General features: G+C 35.9%; 1 long non-coding RNA gene and 1 pseudogene across 1 annotated transcript in view, besides 1 other annotated feature; both read left to right on the top strand.

Annotated features, from left to right (window-relative positions):
• ASMER1 (adipocyte associated metabolic related lncRNA 1) overlaps positions 1-22,107 on the top strand; it is a 101,831-nt gene extending 79,724 nt beyond the window's left edge. The window contains exons 3-4 of the long non-coding RNA NR_146322.1: positions 13,321-13,422; positions 14,530-22,107. This is a non-coding gene — a long non-coding RNA (adipocyte associated metabolic related lncRNA 1). The remainder of the gene's footprint in view (positions 1-13,320; positions 13,423-14,529) is intronic.
• Positions 8,956-9,796, top strand: RBMX2P1 (RBMX2 pseudogene 1; annotated as a pseudogene).
• Positions 13,298-13,447: an enhancer, noted in NCBI's record as "active region_18283". NCBI's record gives its function as "activates an Ori minimal core promoter by ATAC-STARR-seq in GM12878 lymphoblastoid cells {active_cell/tissue: GM12878}" and the evidence as "EXISTENCE:reporter gene assay evidence [ECO:0000049][PMID:35858748]".
• Positions 22,108-22,896: the final 789 nt, after the last annotated feature.

Genomic DNA, 22,896 nt, shown 5'->3' with positions numbered 1-22,896 from the left:
TGCTTTTTTTCTCCCACCTTCCTTCTGGTCTTACAGTCAGAGAGGAAAGGGATATAATGTTTATTGTCTAAGTGATAAACATAAATTGAATCATTTAATGGGCTCAGACCTAAAGAAAAGAAACAGACTTCCCAAAAGAAAGGAGTCATATTGTTTCTCTCCAAGAACAAAATGGCTTGTACTCTATTCATTGGGTATTCTACTCCATTTGGTAAGTGCTCTTTTCCTCTTGCTTTCAGTTTATGTTCAAACATCTACATGCATTTATCAGATTGCCTTTAGAGACTGCCTGTGAGGACAGGCATTTGCATTCACTTTGAACGATCACAGCATCTTGGTATAGCAAACATTCACACCGCTATGAAAAGCAGCAGTCTCTACTTAAAGTATACAAGTGTCACTTGAAATCTAAGCTCTTAAACAAGAGGGAGGACATCTGGCCTTACTCGTTGTGCTCCTTATATTCCCACAGTCTGCAAACTTGCAGAAAATTTCCTTAGCAAGTAACCAAACAACTAGGAAGTATAATAAAATGTACTCACTGATGGTGGATGCTCACTAATGTACCCACCATTGATTAAAAAAATGTAAAGTAAACTTAGAGTACTGTAGGTTAGTTTAAAGTTATCAATTGTGTAATGCAAAGTTGGAAGAGTTTAGCAAAGTATGAGTAAGGGTTAAGTGAAGAATATTTTCAGAGGACTTTTGCAGAGTTTCTAAAAGTATACAGTGGTTTAAAGGATATATAATTCTGACTTATTCTTTACTTGAAAATGGAATGAACTTGGCTCCCCTCAAGCCAGTCCCAATCAGATCGTATAAATGAAGGCTTTTATTGTAAATTCAGTTTTCCGTCAAGGATACTACTTTCCCAGATACTTACGTGACTTTCTTCTTTATTTTCCTTTCAAGTTCCCACTCAAATAACACCTAGATGTAATAGAATCCTCACTGTCCAGGAGCACAGTTTCGTTCTCACCCTCCCTTGTTATTATTTTCTCCTTAGATCTTACTACCTGTATGACATATTGTGTATTTATTTGTTTGTCTCTGGTCTTCCTCTAGAATGCAAATGTTATGAAAACAGGAGATCTACTGATTTTGTTCATTCTTTTTTCCAGTGCCTACAATAGTTCCTGGTATGTAGAAGGTATACAATAAATATTGGCGGAGTGAAGGAACAAATGGGATTTGCTTGATTCTGCTGCAGAAGACTAAGAAAAAGACATAAATGAATAAATAACTAGTAGAATGTTAACACAATCAGAAAAAGGACCATTTCTTTTCATTTGGATGTCTCAAATCTATTTGTTGTTTTTGTTGTTGTTGTTTTTCTGGCTGGGCTTGAAATGTAGGCATGCAGCCAGGAGGCTCCATGCTGACTAATGAGATAGAGGTACCCATTTAGCCCAGCAATATTCATACATTGTATATGCATTCATTTTTCTCTAGTGACTTTTTAATATATTTTGGTGAAGATATTCCCAAGATAATGAAGATATGTTGAGTGGGCATTAAAAGTGATGAGTCTTTTTTTCCATTATCAAAGACAAATACAGGTGTGTGATGTATGCAGAGAATTAGAAGTAGGGAAAAAAATGAGGGAATCCAAAATAATGAAAAGAAATTAAAGCTCTCCAATAATCGAAAGAAAGGCCAAACTGAAAACATAAATCTCCAGACTCTGCAAGGATTTATACTGATGTGGGGCATGTGGACCAATGGCTTTCAGGATGTGATTCATTTTGAAAAAAGTGTCATTTCCATTGCCAAGTAGAGTTCATGGTTTAGTGAAAATTTCATCTTCAGTCTGATCACATGAGCCAAATTCTGGCCCTATATATTCTGATGTGAGGAATGAAGTATTTCTAGTTTATTTGTGAGATTCCAAGCATAATATCCAGGAGGGTTAGTCACATTACAGCTAAGGTAAGATTTTGTTATATTTGTGTTAGTCCTTATTCTAGGCACTGAAATTTCCTTGTAACATTACTTGAAAAAGCATAAGAACTATTTAATGAAAGAATGCTTTGGCTCTGCCCAAATGACCAAGAAAGACATCAACTCACTTATAACACAGTCTTGATGGTCAGACCAAAAGGTACGTGATTGTCAATTATTTTCAGCAGAGACTCATAGAACAACAAAGCAGGGAAGAATCTGAACAGGGATTGGACTTTAAAGAACAAGTATCATTGATCAATTAAAAAAAATGGTCATGGGCTGGGCACAGTGGCTCACACCTATAATCCCAGCACTTTGGGAGGCCGAGGTGAGAGGATTGCTTGAGTCCAGGAGAGACCAGCCTGGGCAATATAGTGAGACCCCATCTCTACAAAATTTTTTAAAATTAGCTGAGCATGGTGGCAGATGCTTATAGTTCCAGCTAATTGGGAGAATGAGGTAGGAGAATCACTTGAGGTTGGGTGGTGGAGGTTGCACTGAGCTGAGATCACTCCACTGCATGCCAGCCTGGGAGATAGAGCAAGACCTTGTCTCAAAAAAAAAAAAAAATCATGATTCAGTAAATTGAAATAGAACATGTCTTCTAATGCTAGCTATATAGTAACAATCAGAGCAAGTAGTTTACAGTTTCTACTCAAGGGTATTGATGATTAAAATGAGTCCAGCTATTTTATTGGAGGACGGGGAATCTAGATAGTAAGTTAAGCAGTAGTAGCTAATGCAACAAATACGCAGTGTAGGTCATTCTACATTTGTTGTCTGCCATATGTTGGGTTCTATGTATTATACAGTAAAATTTTACTTCAGTCTTTTTCCAAAATTCAGGGATTGGTCTGTTTAATTCAGTAACTAATGAGTTGATGTCCAATTCTTCTGGGTAAGTGAATATTCATAGAAGTAGAGGTGAAAAAATGGAGGCCACGGAATAGGTGTAAAGTAGATACACAGATCTGCATTGTGGCGGTTCTCGTTGAGCTGATATTTAGATCAGCAGTGAGACTGCTTGGTACCATTCCAGAAGACAACAGCCCTTTAGCTGGTCTTCTGTTGAAAAACTATCTAATTGATCATCTGGAGGAAGAGACTAAAAGCTGTGAAGTTGAGTCAGCACGCCTTTCAAAACTCAGCAGGTGAAGTTGTCATACTCAAGAGGAATGTATTTTTTAAGTTTAACAAGATGGATATAAATCATACTATCACTCTCTTGAGAGATCATCTACATGTGTGTCTGCCTACAAGTGTCTCAATTATTGTTTTAGATTTAACCAGGCTTTGTTTGTTTGTTTATTTACAGGAAGTGATACATATACAAATTGACACAGGAAAATGCCACTTGTATAATATTCTAGCTAGTATTTTCATCTGCTGTTGTCTGAATTCCCCCATAGTGGTTAACTTCAAAATGCAAACTTAAAGCATGAAAAAAATAAATGGTAATCTGAAATAAAATACACATTTGAAGAGCTTATTCTTTTACCCTATCAGATGGTAAAATGTTTGGCCAGATATGTAGAATAAGTTTTCTAATATGATATTTAATCAGTGTACTATCTTATTTTGGGTTAAATTAATATAATTATACTATTTATTTGGAATGAGATAGACGGAATTCAGAATTCAGAATAGAAGACCAAATATAATTAGGTCCCAGTGAACTCCCAACATAATTTTCTCTAACAGTCGCACATGAAAAGAAAAACCAAGGCAATATAATGCTTGTTTTCCTGAAACACCATCTGTTATTTTGTTTGAGTTAAGCTCAGTGCTCTAAAGGTTATGGATACTGTGCAGTAATTAGTACCATTATGGGGAATGTTCTTACTTCTATGTATTGGATTTCCCCAGTTTTACAATGATATAATTCCAAATTGTTCCTTCATCAGAGGTGTAACTAAATTTCTTTCTTGTTCTAAAATATAGGCAACACATATTGTGGTATCAATTTGCTTGTTCTGGAATGCAAATAAAATAGAAGCTTGTTTTGTATATTTTCTAGATAATTGTTGTTTTCTATATACCACATATATAGAGACTTTGAAGAAAGTGGTTATCAAATTATTAAATATCTATAAATTCTATTAATTTCTCTAGCTGAGAGAAATGTTTTCTTTTTAATTATAAGAGAATTAGATTCCCTTCCTCAAAGAGAGGCCAACAAATTTCAAGTATTTTTATATACTGTATAAATATAAATGAATCTTTGTACATCATTTCCCTCCCTGTAGAGCAAGGCTAAAATACTCTTTTGGAACAGTTGTGCAGAAATATTTAATTGCATGGCATGTGGTTATGGATATTTTATATACAGGCTATCTCTGTCTCTTAACTTACAATTAAAATGACAAATTTAAGATTCATATGTCTCAAGTATTGTTCTTATAATATTAAAAACATTACACTTGAAATAGTAAAAAAAGAAACTAAATGGTGTTTATATTAGACCAAAGCAAGTCAAAATTAGGGCTTTTATCCTGACTATGAACTCCAATAAAGTAGAGAGTATTTGCAAATTCACAAGACTCTGTAGGGTAGAGCAGTGATCTGGCCATGAACTTCATCAGAGTCAGTGCTATGTCATTGGGCTCTCTGGTCAGTGTCAGAGATTGCCACCTGGTCAAAACATTAAGGGTATACACAGTATGTACTGAGTACTTTACATAAATTAACTCATTTAATTACGACAACAAACTCCTTATGGTAGTTACCATTATTGTCTCCATTTCACAGGTGAGGAAATTGAAGAAAGATACTCAGTGGTCCTGAGGAACTCAGTGGCATATGCAAATGCAGGCAAGATAAGGCCTTAAGATGAGTCTGTGCTACTAGGCCCTACCCAGAAAAGGCAGTCAGCAGTTGAGATTTGCCTTGTGATTGTCTTAAAGGGCAAACTTCATAAAGAAAGACCAATGCACAAGTAAAGGCTTGAGCTCTATAATAATAATAGCAAGCCCTCAGATGGAACTTGCTGTCTGTCAGGCACTTTACATATAGCAATTTATTTAATCTTCATAACACCCCTAAGAGATAAATATTCTTTCTATTTCATTTTACTGTTATGGAAATTGACACATAAAGAGATTGAGTAACTTGCCTATGAATGCTGTAATGACAAAGGCAGGCTTTGAACTCAGGCAGTCTCATGCTAGAGTCCATATTCTTTGCCATTATGGGATATTGTGTCATATTTGGGGAACTTAAGATCTTAAGTAATTTATTAAGGTTTAGGAGAAAGAAGAGGAAATATAGAAAATGCCTTTTAAAATTAAAATTCAAAAAATGAGAAAAATATATCAAAAAAGTATTAATGACAGTAATAAATGAACATGCTATAATTGAGTCTATGTTTGTGCTCCTGTTTTAGTTAGTACTTTTTTTGGGTTAGATCGTCTCCACACTTCTGCACTAATTTATATTTGAAGTCCTGTCCTCTGTTGCTTTAGATTATGACCTCATTTGGAGAAAAGGGCTTTACAGAGGTAATTATGCTAAAGTGAGGTCATGTGGGTGGGCCCTAATCCACTGACTGGTGTGCTTACAAAACCAGGAAATTTGGTCACGGGCAAGTATAGAAGGAAGGCAACGTGAAGAGACATAGGTAGAGGAAGGCCGTCTATAAGCCAAAGACAGTGGCCTGGAGCAGATCTTTCCCTCACAGCCCTCAGAAGGAATCAACCTTACTGATGTTATTTCAGACTTCCAGCCTCCAGAACTGGAAGACAACACATTTCTGTTCTTTAAGCCACCATGTTTATGATACTTTATTGTGGCAACTCTAGCAAACGAATACAGTATTCTTGGATGAAAATTAGCAGAAAATAATTTCAAACAGCTTAGCCAAAAATTCTGATTGAATGGAAGGATACTGGGACACCTCATAGATTTTTAAAAGTTTGAATAACCAACCTTTAGTATACAGAGACTGGAGAACATCAGGATCTCAGGCCACAGCCTCAAGTCTCTCTCATTCTCTCTCTGTCTCACAGGTTCTCTCATTCTTCTCTTTCTCTTGCAGATGGTCTGATATGGTTTGGCTGTCTGCCCCCACCCAAACCTCATGTTGAATTGTAATCCCCAGTGGTGGGGGAGGGACCTGGTGAGAGGTGATTGGAGCATAGGGGCAGATTTTCCCCTTTCTTTTCTTGTGATAGTGAGTGCTCATGAGATCTTGTTGTTTAATGGTGTGCAGCACTTCTGCCTTAGCTCTCTCTGTCTCGTTGCCATGTGAAGATGTGTTTGCTTCCCCTTCACCTTCTGCCATGATTGCAAATTTCCTGAGGCCTCCCCATCCATGCTTCCTATACAGCATGTGGAACTGTAAGTCAATTAAACCTCTTTTCTTTAGAAACTATCCAGTCTCAGGTAGTTCTTTATAGCAATGTAAGAATGGACTAATACACGATCTTTTGTCACTTTTTTACTCATGACTACTTCAAAGGATATAGGTCCTCACACACTATCTAGCACTACCAAGCAAGTTTAAATCTCAATTCTAAACTCATAGGAGGCAGAATTTGATAGGCTTGACTTAGGTCAAGGTCTATCCCTATTCTAGCCAGCTATGGCCAGAGAAATAGGGCCATATAAGACAAACATGAATCTAGGAACAGGACCATATTATGACTTTTATGGGCCCCAGGCACTTTTGTCTTCATAGGTCCTAACCTCATACCCACACACAAAAGGAACCTAAAAATTATGTTTTATCATTACGTTAATATAACAATAGGTTACTATATAGTAAAATATTTTCTTTAACATGAAAGTTTTTTTTATGTAAAAGAAATTAAGACATTTTCATGAGCATCTTAAGTATTGTGGGCCCTAGGCACTGGGCCATCGGTGCCTAATGTGGCTTTTTTGGTGAAGTGGACTTTTTAAAGAAAGAGGGGATTTATATGGATAGCGGTGTGTTCCTATTTACTTATACTTTTGTAAAGCCTTTTCCTCCCGCTGTCTTTCTATGAAACGTTTGTAACTTGTCTTGTTGATGATGATACAAGTAATACCAATGCCAGAGAGGATTTTTTCCTTTTCTGTTCCTCCATCTCAATGCCTTTCATATTTATAAGTTAAAGTTGTTGACTTCCACTTCCTGATTACCATACGGTGTCAAGGGTATAGAATTCCTTAAATATTTACTAGGGAAAAGGCCTGGGGTAACCTATTTAAGCTCCTGGACTAAGTATTTTTACTATACTGGAGTATTTTTTCAAATCTTTCTCCAATACTCAGTGTTATATTTTACCACCTATATCCATGATAAATTGTCACCGAAGCATATGTTACATTAGTCTATTTTCATAAGTAAAATAAATCAAGAAGCCTGCTATCTTCACTGGGAAATACATATATCTTGCTTTTAAGATGATATTTAATTGTGGGTCAAATTGAACAATGGTAAGGTTTATTTTCTGTCCTACGGATGTGTAAGGGACTTCTAAGACATATTCAGCTTCCCTATTATGTGCCATTTTTGAGTCCTTTTATCTGTGCTAACAATAATGATATAAAGGAAATAAAGGCAGGATGACAAGTCTGCAATTATTTACTGAGTTTCAAGTCGAATAGGTTGGACTAGTGAGTAGACTGAGTATGAGCAATACACCTAAGTGACTGTTTTATGGAACTTTCAATGGGATTGCCATCATATGACTTGAAATACCAAGTGAAGCACATCTTTGGGGGAACAATCACAGTTTTTACAGAGTTGTGGGTTACAGAAGTAGCAATAGTTTTATAAGAAATTGGTTGGCTTATTTTGAGATATCAAATCAAAATAAGGCTCTCCAAAATGCCACTGCAGCTACACACTGGAGCCTTTGCCACTGATAGTGGCTACTGGTTTCTTAGTGCCATTTGAAGCTGTGCACACAAATGTGTACTATATTCACCCTGAGAACTGCCATTTTTAAGAGCAAAGAATCACCTTCTATATCACTCAAATAGGTATAATATGGAGCAGAATTATTACTGCTTAGGGCTCATTCAATCTGGAAACATGGTAGCTATGATGATTCATTTTATGTGTCAACTTGACTAGGCCACAGAGTGTGTAGATTTTAGGTCAGACATTATTTTGGGTGTGTCTGTGAGGGTGTTTTTGGATGAGACTGACATTTGAATTGGTGGACTGAGTAAAGCAGATTGTTTTCCACAATGTTGGTGGTCCCACCCCAATCAATTGAAGGCATACATAGAACAAGGCCTGACCTTCCCAGGAGCAAGAGGGAACTCCTTATGTCTGACTGTTTTGATCTGGGATATTGCTCTTTCCATTCTTCAGACTTGAATTGTAACATTGGCTCTTCTTGGGTTTAGAACCTGTAGCATATAATATTGGCTTTCCCGGTTCTCAGGCCTTTGGACTCAGACTGGAACTTAACCTTGGATCTCCTGGGTGTTTACTTATCCGACTGCAGATCTTGGGACTCACTAGCTTCCATAATCCCTGGGCCAATTCCTTATAATGAATGTACCTATCTATACAAACATCTTGTTGGTTCTGTTTTTCTGTAGATCCCTGACTAATATAATAGGTACACTCAAAGCAAAGCTTAGTCTAAGTTTTTTCTTTGTAACACATCAAATATTTACCTTTCATAATTTGGCCCAAGTGAACATAACATGTTATAGGCTCTCGAAAGGATTTATTACCTGGACAAAAGGTGAAATAGTAGAGTTAAAACTTCCATGATCAGGAACCATTTCAGAACAGAAGTCTTTGTTGCAGCTTGGCCATCCTATTTTGAAACTCGACTAGTTTAGATCTTTCCAACTAGTGAGCAGTAGCATACTTCTGTGTGGTGACTGGACTACCATGAAAAGTTGAACATTAAATGGCAGAGGAAGGCATGTGGGGAGGGTGGAGAAGAGACTGTGGAGGTGCCCTGAGGGCCTCCACCAGAAGTGGTATCCTCCCTTGTCTGTTCTCTAGAAGTGGGCATGGTTCAGCCACCCAGGCACCATTGTGTGGCACTCCACCCCACAAAGATGAACTCATTAATCAATGTGAAGCTAGCCCTGAAGCTGAATAAAAGGCAGGCTGATATTGCAGTGGCTCCTAAAGCATCCCGTCCTCTGTGTACAAGGACAGCTCCTGGATGTTCCCGGGAGGGCTTTGTTATGAACTGACTGAAGGTGATGTCATCTGTGTAGCCTCTCAATAAGGGGAGATATATTAACATTAATCTTGTACAGGACAGGAAGTCAGGAATGCGTCCAAAGGATTCTGTTTTACCTGCTATGAGGGCCAGAGGAGTACCATTTTGGCCATTGACAATTTTAATGGAATCAAGATCAAGGGAAGAACTATTCGAGTTGATCAATAATGAAATTACCAACTTCCTGCCTCTCTCCCTTGCCTGACCCAGAGGACTTGAATGATGCCACAAGACAGCTCTGGGAGAAGGGTTGTGGGGCCCAGAGTCCCTCACCTAGTTCATCTGAAGGCTCCAGTGATGAAGCACTCTCACAACAGCACAGCTGAGAAAAACGGGGGAAAAAAAAAACACCAAAGAGAAGATCATCATTTGAGTTAAAGACAAGGAGGGACAGAGAAGTCATCATACACTCTGCCTGCCAGAGACCAGATGAAAAATGATAAGGATGCACGAAACTGCAATAAACACACCAAGGTGGAATTAGAGTCCAGATAGGGGCTGAAGCCCTAACCAAGTTGTCCTGTGTCCAGGACAGCAGCTGCAGACCACAGCTTCCTGTGAACACAGCAGGACCTAGAGAAGGGAGTGAAAGGAAGGAGAGTCAGGATTCTGAGCCCAGTACTTTGGCAGTGGCAGGGTAAGAGGAGAAGAGCAAGGATAGGGACACATTTCAGTTGATTTGAAAGCATAGCCACACAAATTCTCCAACCCCAGGGACCATAGGCCAGACCAGGCTTCAGCCTGCTCAGATCCTCAGATTTTAAAACAAAGTGTGGTATTTAAAATGCAATGGGATGGAACTTGTGATTTTGTAATTTCTGTAAATAAAATATCTGGGGCAGAATTTCCTTAAATTGAAATCTGTTTTTTTTTACGACTACTTAAGAATTTACAATAGTTGAAATTCCATTAAAGAGTTTATATGGCATCTTTTATAAACTCTCTGAAATTCTGATGCCTAAGATTTTCTTGGCTCACTACAACCTCCGCCTCCTGGGTTCAAGCGATTCTCGTGCCTCAGCCTTCCTCAGTGGCTGGGATTACAGGCATCTGCCATCACGCCCAGCTAATTTTTGTATTTTTAGTAGAGATGGGGTTCCACCATGTTGGCCAGGCTGGGCTCGAACTCCTGGCCTCAGATGACCCATCTGCCTTGGCCTCCCAAAGTGCTGGGATTACAGGTCTGAGTCATCGTGCCTGGCCTAAGATTTTAAGAGCAGTGACCTATAGTAGTTCACATGTAATCACTCCTCTCCCATAGTATTCTGCTTAAATATTACTATTTTCAATGTAACAGGGCATGCAAAAGGTGGGAAGTACTGGACTAGATAATCTCTACAGTTTTTAATTTAGTTCTAAGCTTCTTAGGCCATGAGGGGAGGATGTCAGCCAGCATAGTGGGAAAATACTGCTATCATATGATTTAAGTAAGGACTAAAAAATATTTAGGCTCCTGCTCTTGTATTATTTTATAGATCGATAATAATACAAGATTTATTGTTTTTGCTTTTTCCACTGTAACTTTAGCTAATGATAAAATCAAAGGCAAAGTATATTTCTGTGGAAAGTAGTATCAGTTGAGATACATGACAAATCATGGCAGATTAAAGAGATAATATCTCTGGCTGGGTGCAGTGGCTCACTCCTGTAATCCCAGCACTTTGGGTGGATCACTTGAGGCCAGGAGTTCGAGACCAGCTTGGCCAACATGGTGAAACCCTGTCTCTACTAAAAATACAAAAATTAGCTGGGTGTGGTGGCAGGCACCTATAATCCCAGCTACTCAGGAGGTTGAGGCAGGAGAGTTGCTTGAATCTGGGAGGTTGAGGTTGCAGTGAGGCGAGATCATACCATTGCACTCCAGCCTGGGCAACAGAGTGAGACTCCATCTCAAAAATAAAAAATAAAAAGAGAGTATCTCTGATAACACATTCCTTCTATTCTTCTCTTTATATATCTTTAACTATATATAGAGATATATATACAGATATATATAAAATATATATAAAATCTAAGAAAGCGCAATATTTTATTCTCTCTCACAGGGTGTTTTATGTGCCAGTGATCTTGGGATATGTAAAGTGATATAGAATAATTGGAAATGCAAAGTGTTTCCTGGATTCTGTTGGTATTTGATGTTTGATTGATGAGCATTTCATTCCCATTTGCAATTTCACATTCTGCATACAGACAGAACTGCATATATGAGCTTGCAAAGGTTGCTACTTAGGATAGAAACCTTAAACTAACCTTTTGGAAATTGCCTGTTCATTTTAAATAAGAAGAAAACGACCAAATTATAATATCTTAAATGATTTGAATATATCGTGACTTTGGGCCAATCATTCTTTACACAGGAAATCTACTTGGCCTAAAAATTGTTTTAAAAAATCTAATTTTGCTCTAGTCTATACAAAAGTTACTGGTGATATAAGCAGTGAGAGTATTGCTAATCAGCATTTACTGATCAATGAAAGTAAAGTAGGCATTTACTATAGATTTTTAAGATATTTTATTTTGAATAGTAGTTTGCTCAAAAATTAACTAAAAACAGAAAAAAGTTTTTATTTACTTATTAGAACTTAGCTGTTTTTACTTTCCCACATTTACTTTTAATCTATGCATATTTTGCATAGTTGCAGGTCCTTTATTTATTTGCTTGTTCATTCATTCAAGAAATATTAAGTTTCTACTCAGTACCAGGTGCTATAATATAGTTGGTATTACAAAATAAATATGCCTGACCACAGGTTATAGGCAGTGAAAAAGATCCATACATAAACCATTAACTTAGAATAATGTAAAGAGTGCTTTCAAATTTATAAAGGGGAACACAGGAGAGTCCATGGGGCAAATGAGGTGAAAAACAGACCAGACAGGGCTTCTGATAGGTCGTGGAATCTAGGGAAGATGCGAGTAGTTCCATGTGAGAAAGAGTACGGGGTATGGTACATAACAATGAGAAATGAGGCGATTGAGAAAAGGAGGGGTGCGAGAAAGTTCTCGCATGCTATACAAACTATTTGAGCATCTCTTACTTTGAAGGAGTCAATGATTTTAAAGAGAAAGTGACATGATCAGAAATAGATTTTTGAAAAGCACATGGTAGGAAGGTGGAGGATGAATTAGGCTGGGGAGGAACTGGAAGCAGATGAGGAGGGTGGCAGTTGCAGTAGTTTAAGGAAGAGATTATGAGGGCCTGAACTAAGACAACCTGGTGCAGGAGATAGAGACGAACTCAGGATTTAAACAGATATTTAGGAGATAATTTTAGAGGGTAGGAGAACATCTCCAAATTTCTGACTCAAGAACACAAATAAAGGAGCAAAGTATATGTGATTTTGGGGTGGGTGGGGGAGAGGGAGAGGAGTGGTAGGAAATGAGGGAAGGGAGGGTGGTGGCAGAAATGGTGGAGTTTATTTTGTCTTTTGTTGAAGTCACCCAAAATAACAACTTGACAGTGGCACAGAATTGAACAATTAAGAGATTATTGGTGATCAGAGTATTAGCAATTCACAAGAGGAATGAGAGAGAACAGATAGCACTGAGAAGTGAGCAAACTAAAACAGCAACTTCAAATATTGTCTTTTCCTTATTTCATATAACAATATACACCTTTCCATAGTTTTAACAGTTATGTAATATGGCACATAATGAATATAACATAATTTAGCAAACATGTAGAATTATTTTTCTCTTAAAATTATTAGTAATGTATGGAGCATGTTTATACATATGTTTATTTTGATGCTGTTGTTTATTAGTTTCTTCAGACATTTTCTCAGGAACTGTACATCATTGGGTGAAAGAATATGAGTGTTTCCACTTTCTGTTTTTTTCTAAGCCATTTACCATCATTTATGCATATGATACTATGGCATATATTCAGTCTTAAGGAATTTGGTGAGTGAAATAAAATGACAGAATTCTGAACTGAAATTCATAGCCGTGGTGAATATGACTAAATATACAATTTATTTGGTCTGAGGCTAATCATTTTTCTCTAATGTCATACATTTGAAACAAAGATGGTTCTAGAGTTAAGCTCCCAGCAAAAGTCATTTCTTGATTTCATAACGCTATTGCTTGGGTGGCACACTTATATTACCAGTTATGTAGAATTCTAATAGAATGAATCAAAATACTCATTTAATCAAACGCTGGGAAAGTTAAATTTTATTCTTGCTTCTGTTAGGTGAAACTGAAATTGGCTGTATCATCTGAAACTTCATCTGTGAAGTCCCTGGTGGTTTCCTAGATGACTACACAGTTGAGTTGCCTCTGATTGGAAAAGCAGGCAAGTTTTATTTCTGATGCTTTTTTTTTTTTCTTGTTTATTTTTCTTTTATTTTTATTTTTTTTTTAATTATACTTTAAGTTTTAGGGTACATGTGCACATTGTGCAGGTTAGTTACATATGTATACATGTGCCATGCTGGTGCGCTGCACCCACTAACTCGTCATCTAGCATTAGGTATATCTCCCAATGCTATCCCTCCCCCCTCCCCCCACCCCACCACAGTTCCCAGAGTGTGATATTCCCCTTCCTGTGTCCATGTGATCTCATTGTTCAATTCCCACCTATGAGTGAGAATATGCGGTGTTTGGTTTTTTGTTCTTGCGATAGGTTACTGAGAATGATGGTTTCCAATTTCATCCATGTCCCTACAAAGGACATGAACTCATCATTTTTTATGGCTGCATAGTATTCCATGGTGTATATGTGCCACATTTTCTTAATCCAGTCTATCATTGTTGGACACTTGGGTTGGTTCCAAGTCTTTGCTATTGTGAATAATGCCGCAATAAACATACGTGTGCATGTGTCTTTATAGCAGCATGATTTATAATCCTTTGGGTATATGCAGCCAAAAAATACATGAAAAAATGCTCATCATCACTGGCCATCAGAGAAATGCAAATCAAAACCACTATGAGATATCATCTCACACCAGTTAGAATGGCAATCATTAAAAAGTCAGGAAACAACAGGTGCTGGAGAGGATGTGGAGAAATAGTAACACTTTTACACTGTTGGTGGGACTGTAAACTAGTTCAACCATTGTGGAAGTCAGTGTGGCGATTCCTCAGGGATCTAGAACTAGAAATACCATTTGACCCAGCCATCCCATTACTGGGTATATACCCAAAGGACTATAAATCATGCTGCTATACATGGGGGACTCCATTTATTATCTAAAATGTGGGACATTAAAACACTGCAGTTTCTAAATTGAAGATAAGGCATAAGTTAAATAGCAATATCTATTATCAAAGATGCTTACTTTATAAGAATACATAATTTTGGGTGAGTCCATGACATAAAATTCAATAATTTGTGGCGAAATAATTAAGTTGCCTTGACAAGCCTAATGTTGATTTTACTGTCTTCTCTTTCCCCTAGTGTTTTGGTTTTTCAGTTTGTACAAGAGGAAGAAGACGCATGATATGTGTTTGGCTCATGTGCCTGAATATGGCTCCACAGGGAAGACTTGATACAGCTGAAGCTATTGCTTTTTAGAGACTTTTTATTTTGAGCAGCTGCCTTAACAGCCTTCGTCTTGTTACATCACATGAGATATATCTCTGGAATAGGAAGAGAAAAAAGACATGACTGAGCAATAATTTTTGACTAAAACTTAAAATTACAAAACCAAAACCAGAGATAGATGTCCCTGAAGTTGTATTTTTATAGTATGTGAGAACACAATTTTCTTATCCTAGTTTTAAGGCATTCCTCTGGACCCAGGATTTTTGTTTAGTTTCATTCACATAATCAAACTCTTTTTTTTTTTTTTGCCATAGACTAATGCATTTTGGTGTAATGATCTGAGCCCTTATCCAGAAGGCATCTAAGACTCATGTACAAAAATAGATTTCAGGGCTAAACATTCTAAAAGACAATTGAGTGCTTCTTTTTTCTCCGGCCCCTAGATGTAAATGAATAACCTCTGTTCACTAACTCTTAATGTAATATAAGGGATAAATTATGCTTGTTTATTTAATTGTGCTTAACCAGAGTACTAGGTTGGAGTCAAACCACAGATATATTTGTGAGATGTGACAAAATGTAGCTTTTAGCCCGTAATACCCAAGTCATCTGGGAACATAACTGATGACAGTGTCAACACCTTTCAGGAATTCTGGAGGTGCCTTTGAGTTTAGAAATTCGTAGGTTCTCTAGAAGCAACAGTAGCATACTAAATTAACACATAACATTTCAAGCTACATTTACATAATTGCAGTGGTTATGATTAATACAAATTATATTAACTGCCTGTTTTACTCCTTATAGCTGATTGGCTGAATTTACCAGTGGGTTTGGTATGTTCAACAAATGATCCAAATTACCTTTTCATTTCAGTTAAGAAACTAATCAAAGCAAATACACTTTGATTTGTTGAGAGGCAGAGATTCTCCCTAAGTGGCAATGTCCTTGGCCTTCTAAGCTAAAACCTAAATGGAACTATAATATATATTTTGATGCTTTATCTCACTTGAGTTTTTTATTCTTTAACTGAAGGGCAGCCATGGACCATAAATACATAGAAGATAAAAATATATTGAGCTTAGGAGTTTGGTCTGTTCAATGGATGAGAACTTTATATTTTCCCTTATAAACACAATTTTCAAAGAATAGCCTGTAATAGTCGTGAAAATGGAAACCAATACTGGGGAAATGTGGACTGCAACTCTGAAAAGGTATCAAAATGCCCGATAGTTCAACACAAGGGCTAAGCAATATTTCAGGGATGTGGCCTGTCTTTGGTGGCTCGGTCACTCTAGTGAGATGAATTTGGAAAAGGATAGGCATACAGAATCCCCCCTCTGGCAGGGTTTGCCTTTGGGGTCTGCTTAAAGCCATGTTTGCTAGTAGAAATCTTGAGTAACCAGATATGTTTTATAATGCTGTGTCATATTTAAATTCTGATGAGATTGACATCTTTAAATAAGCTTGGACACAGATTGGATTTGTACAGGGAACTGGACTGAAGAATAATCGTAGGTCAGTAATAGATTTAGATATACTATTTTTATATTGTAAGCAGTTACTTCTCAGGATTAGTATTCTAATTCATTTGATTTAATATGTAATAGGTAATATTAAAAATAAAGATTTTATGCTTTGAAACTCCTTAACTGAATATTTTCATAGGAATAAGCATAGTTTTTGTGTTTAGTAATTTTAGTTAGTGAGTAATGATTAGCAGACAACATGGTAATTATATTGAAATATTACGTGAGTGCCAATAACAAAGCTTTCTGATCAAATGCTAAGAAATATGTTGTGTAAAGGGATCTCACATTTTTTATTGCGGCTTTCTTTCTACAATGTGACAAATTTCTGGGATATTTCATTATCTTCTTTTTGAATTTTTTTCAAGCAAGACTGTTCAGTATTATGTTAGCATTGATATAAAAAGAAGCAGACCATTGTTAACATTAAAATGTTACTGAGATTTCAAAGGTAGAGGACATTATCCTTTCTTATTTTTCTTTATGATACAGTATTTGTAACATAGTGCTTCTGAAATAGAAAGCACTTTTTGGAAAATAAGTTTAGTGAATAGCCAAATAATTTCTTACATATAACTTACAAAAGTAATACCATCTAGGCTAAGCTATTAAAAATATCAGTACATCAGTAACTACTCATTATATTGACCAACCAGAGCTTATCCATTTTTGGTCATTCTCATCTAGATATACACTTTCAGGCTAAAGAGAGATTTCCTTCCTTTTTCAATTGGTTATGAATAGAAGTCATCAATTTTTTTCTTACTTCCATCTTAATGGTTTGAAATAAAGAGTCAGATGCACGGCTTTTCAATTTCTTTTACTACTTTATTTTATTACTTGATTATTTTAAGGTCAAAAGATTTCCATTTCCAAAATACGTAATAGAAATGATAAAGCAGTAAAATTTGGACTTAAAATAATATGGACATTTTTCTTACAAGTGTCAACATGATTTACACATTATTAAAAAGGCAGTAAAATTTGAACTTATACAGCATAAACTTTACTTAAACTGTCAAATACATGGTTTTAAAGTTATTTTATTAATCTATCACTAATAATTATTTTTCTTATCAACAGAGAAAGTGAAGTTTCCTAAGCCATCACTAGAATTGGAAACACTAGATTTTATAAATTAATTTCTTTTCATTGACCTAAACTCCACATTTCTGCTGTGTTCATCTGAGGTCATGTCCATATAGTCAAATAGCTGAAGGAAAGGTGATATTTTTAGTCAAATCAAACTCCAAACATCATTTTTATCTAAATTATCTGGAGAATTGAATAAATATTTTTTTAAGGCTGTCTGTAGAAGAAAATTATGTCAATTTTTCATTTAGCTAGAGAGGTCCTGACCACAGTGTCTTCTGTTGAATTTCTCCTCAAGGTAGGATTCCAAAATACCTGGAAAATGTGAAACAGTGTTCCTCGTATGGGTAATGTAGCATCTTCACAAAAATTCTGTCATGATTCATTTGAAAAATAATACCTTCTCATGTCTAAAATAGTTTTTCATGAGAAATACATTCTATAAGAAAAAAACAATTGGCCTATCTTAGAGGAAAATGCTATTAAAAATTGTGTTATGGAAACAGGTAACATTTTCTTTATCTTTGTGAGTTTTTTCAACATAAATTTTGGTCAGAGAAATCATTTCAAAATAGAAGAGAGTCAGAAATAATCAGTACAGAAATGGTTTTGTTGAGAACTGTTAATTGAAAAGGCACCAAGTGAAGCCCTCATCTATGTTTGCATAAAAAACTGTTTTCATCCCTAAGAAGCTTGTAGCGTTTGGTGTTTCTAGAAAGCTACCGCAGAAGTGGTGCTGTAGGGGATAGTGATTTTTTTTTTTTTTTTTTTTGCCAACTGATGTTCCTTAATGGCAGCAGGCTTCTCAGAAAAAATGGAAAATTAATAATTCTATATAGCAAGTTCTACATATCATCACTCTATTCTCTAATACTTAGTGTTTAATGTACATAAAGAGTAGCCAATTGTGATATTAACAAACTTATTAACACCTGTTGACAAAGATCTTTGAAGACAAATCTACACGCAAGCTTTTGCCTTAGCGAACAACAGGAATAGTTTCCTTAAAAGGATACAGCTATTTTGAAATTTCCTCAACCATTGCATCCCAGTGGGGGGGATACTTACATGGTAGGACTGTTTGGCCAAAGTGCTTGAAGCATTAGGACACAACAAAGATAGTTTTGAAATGTTTTCTTGCTCAAAATACATTTGTTCTTAGGACACGGCTAGTGCTCATTTTACATTCCATGCCTGAAGTGTTTAAAACACTGTGGTACAGGTTTCTGATTCTGTGTTGGTCAATTTTGAAATCCATGTGTTAGTAGTAAGTGTGCTGATTCGTAGAGTGGGTAACTTCTGGGAACTCCCCTTTCTTTTATTGACAATTTCTTTGTAAAGCAAATGCTAATTCTACAGGCTATTAATAAAGACTGGAACTCCCTTGTTCATTAGACACGCAGTAGGAAAATGGGTAACATAGCTGTAGAAATATATTTGCAATATGTTCTCTTCGCACAATTTGCATATAAATGCCGCTTTCCCTATTTACTCAAATTAGCAATGTGTAATGGAGCACTCATAGCCTTTTTGTAGGTTCCTGTGACCTTTAATTGGCACTCATTTCAGACAATTGCCATTTTAGACATTGCTATCGCCATCTTTTGCAATTAAGTTTCAAAGTTATCATCATGGCATTTTTAATATTTAGAAATTTCTTTTTTTATCTCTGGCTTTCAGTTGAAGACTATTCACCCCGGTGGACTCATCATGTTGGGGACTTTCAATTGCTACTTTAAAAAGAACGCTTCACTGAAATAGGTCTCATCCCATCAGGAACATAGAAAAACAAGCAGCAGGCCGGGCGCGGCGGCACAGGCCTATAATCCCAGCTACTTGGGAGGCTGAGGCAGAAGAATCGCTTGAACCCAGGAGGCGGAGGTTGCAGTGAGCCGAGATCGCGCCACTGCACTCCAGCCTGGGCGACAGAGAGAGACTCTGTCTCAAAAAAAAGTAAAAAAAAAGAAAAAAAGGAAAACAAAAGAAAAAAGAAAAGCAGTTGTTTATCTTTTGGCTTAAGCCAAAAGAACCTCAAATGAAAGAAAACAAACAGATGCCATTAGAAAATGCACTAAAGATATGATGAAAGCTTATCAGAAATAATAATAAAAAATCAAATGTAGCACATCCTATGTACCTGGCACTGTTATAGGAGCTGTGTCTGTATTAACACGTAAGTGTTTGAGGTAGGTACTGTTATTATCCCTATTTGCCAATGAGAGAAAGAAGGCAAGAGAGCTTAAGGAAGTTTTCCTAATTGCCCAGCTAGAAGGCAGGACAGGTACAATTTGGTGCTAGGTGATTAGGCTTCAGAATCATCCCTCAGTCATCATATTTAATCACAGGCTTCATGCCATTAATGTCTTTGCTCCAAAGTCTTCATTTGATTGTTTTTTTCTAACTTGTTATTTTTTTGAGCAAACATTCTTGTGAACTTTCATATTTTTAATCCTTCTTTATTGAGGCTTAAAAATATTTTTAAAAAATAGTAAAATGTATTTGCTACAAAACTGAGCACTAACTTTTGAGAAGTTGTTCTAAGCTTTCATTTGTTTCTGGTCTGAATCATCAGCCACGAATTCTGAATAAGGCTGATCTTATATTATTGCCACGTTCAGGTCTCTAGAAATAACCATTATAGGACATGACCTATCATTCTTATGGATTTTATTGAATGATGAGCTCAGCTGCTTGTACAAATCATTTTATTTGCCTTCTCCTTTAATATATTTATCAGCAAATTAGGAAGCAGTATTTCGTTTTGTGTTGTTACTCAAAATAAGAGGATTTTACATTTGTAAAATATGTTTTTATATCTTAGCCCATTATCTATTAAAAACAAAACCAATAAAATTTTGTCATTTATAACTATTTTCTAAATTGGAATTATTTTCAAAATCAATAAATGTGATATTATCATTGCCTTAAGATGCTTTAAAAAATGAAGTAAAGGAGACAGACTGAAGCTAGAATTTAGCAAATGGCAAAGGGAAAACAATGACCTCTTGATTGTTAGATCAAACGCAGTTGAATTTTGACCTATATGTGATGGCCTTGTCCACAGTCAATGGCTAAATTGATCTATTTTTTGATGATTTTGGGGTTTTTTTTATTAACGTTAAAGATCAATTTTTGCCTTATTGCTCAGGTTGTCATGTAGTTTATTTGATTTTGTCATTGGAAGATAAAGTATTGCTCACTTATCAATCAAGGTTATGTCCCAGGTAAAGATAGACAATAAGGATGCTAGAAAATTTAGTTGAAGAAATGACTAATGTTGAGGAATATAACTTATTAGTATTTAACCATCTTGGCTATTATGTTTACCACATTTTGTAGATAACAATGTGCATGCGACTTATTAAATGCCTCTTGGTATATGATGATGCTGTAGAGTCTATGCCAAGTCAGGCAAAGAGCCTTATAGCTTTTGGTTTATAATCTGGGACAGAAACAGCAAGCCTAATTTTAAAATGTAAGTTTAAATAATGAATATGTTTATATGTGGAAAGGTATAGTGATAACTGCACTTTCTGTTACCAAGGACCGTTTGAGAATATCTAACAAAGGGAATTGGAAGAGGTCACCCTGCCTTCTAGCTAGTCAGAGATAATTCATTGATGGAGTGTATTTTTGAGAGCAGTTAGAAAGAGAGGGAAATAACTGGTAGTTGGCTTTATTTGAGGTAAGAAAAGGCATTCTAGGAGTAGCCTATGACATGGGAAAATACAGATGTGGAATGCAATGCAGCAACAGAGGCAAAGTAAAATGTGGACCTGGAAATAGACATCAATGAAAAGAAGATAGAGCTAAAAATTGAAGACGTCCCTTAATTCTCTGAAAGAAAGCCACCTTTTAATAAAGCCAGAGAGCGGTGGAAATACTGTTTGTACCTGGAAAAAATGTACGGAATATGTTAGCTTTAAATTAAAGTCTTATCCTGTAACACATGAGTCATGAAATATATTCTAGAGCACTTTCTTAACCTGTGTTTGAAGTACTGGAAAACACTCATTAAAATTTTATTTATACTTGGTGATAGGCAGATCATTCCCCAGAACATTGTCTGAATGCTGCTGAGAGATGTAATTTGACTAGTAAATTAATGGTTTCTGGTGATCTTAATGTTAACATAACATTTGGAGGCATTGCTCATCAGGGGTGCAATATTGTGTTTCACAAGATGCATGAGACAAAGGCACTTAATGAGTTTTGGCTGAGCTGCACATATTGTGCACAATTCTGTTCAAACTGTTACAGGTTTTCTGCCAAGATACGTAGGAGAAATGGTCTAAAAGATTAGTAGAAGAAATGGTCCCATCCCCTGCTGTGCACCCTTGTGATTGGTTTGTCAACAGTTTGAGAAAATTTTGGAATAGGCAGTAAACAGTTAGTGTCAGTTCATAGAAGGGTGGTCCCTTCAATAAGATTTATGAACAGGAAAATAATGACTCTGGTATAGTATTTCCTTCTTTGTGTAATTGCAGTTTTAATAGGTAATGGCTACTCCTATTATTCATTATTCATGCTTATTCACATTTTAAATAAATCTTTCCTGTGATAAATTCCATTTGATATACTTCTAGAAAATGAGATGGCTAGATACATTGCAAGTTTAATATTCCACTTTTGTAATATGACAAAAATTTTAAATTATTCATATCTTCATTAAATTTTAAACATAAATAAATAACAATTAAAGTTGTTGCCCATTAATAGTCTGCAAATGAAATGTGGCAAAGGCTGTTATCCTGCATCGTCTACTGCTTAGAGGACATACATATATAAGCATTATTCTTCAGTTGAAGAATCATTGTACAATAGAAAGATAAGTTGTCTATAAACCTTTAAACTTAAACAACTGGAATAGTTTTATTAAAATGTTTTCGCAAATTATTCAGCATATTTTATTTGCTTTCATCACAACTTGTATATTATCTAAAAAATAGCTATCCCTACTTTATCCATGTATACATGTTTTCCATACTAACAAAACTTCACATTTTTGTTATACCATTACAATATACATTAGCTGACATTTATTGAACGTTTGCTGTATGCCAGGAACTATTCAAAGTGCTTTACATATATGAATTCATTTAAATCTTATAAAGATCCTGTAAGGTAATTACCATCACCAGCATCATTTCATAGAAGAGAAAACTAAGAAACTTGTCTAACTCTCACAGCTAGAATCTAGTGAAGTGAGGATTTATTTCCAGTAGTCTAACGACTGAGTCAGGCTGGCACAGCACTATGTATACTAACATTTCCAGATTACTGGAAATAAATGTTTGTGGTAGGTAGAATTGAATTGTCCAATGTTTCAAAATGAGAGAATATTTTTAAGAGCATATATGTTCTACTTGGAAGAACATAGGAGTTGAACTAAGATTTGAAATAATTGTTTGCATTCAGTACTATTTTTTCTCTTTTATCATTTTAACCATTTTTTAGTAGACAGTTCAGTAACATTAAGTACATTCACATTGTTTGGCAAGCATCACCACTATCCATCTCCTGAACTTTTCATCATCTCATTTTGACCCAGTAAGTTCCATTCTACTCTCTGTCTAACACTGTTCTTCTATTCTGCTCTCTATCTCTATGTGTTTGTCAATACTATTATAAAGTGATTAAACAGTTTACATTCATTTCAAAT

Source organism: Homo sapiens, chromosome 21 (genome assembly GCF_000001405.40).
Source record: "Homo sapiens chromosome 21, GRCh38.p14 Primary Assembly".
Lineage (NCBI taxonomy): Eukaryota > Metazoa > Chordata > Mammalia > Primates > Hominidae > Homo > Homo sapiens.
The sequence above is the reverse complement of the archived record's forward strand: the minus strand, read 5'-3'. Positions and strand labels throughout refer to the sequence as shown.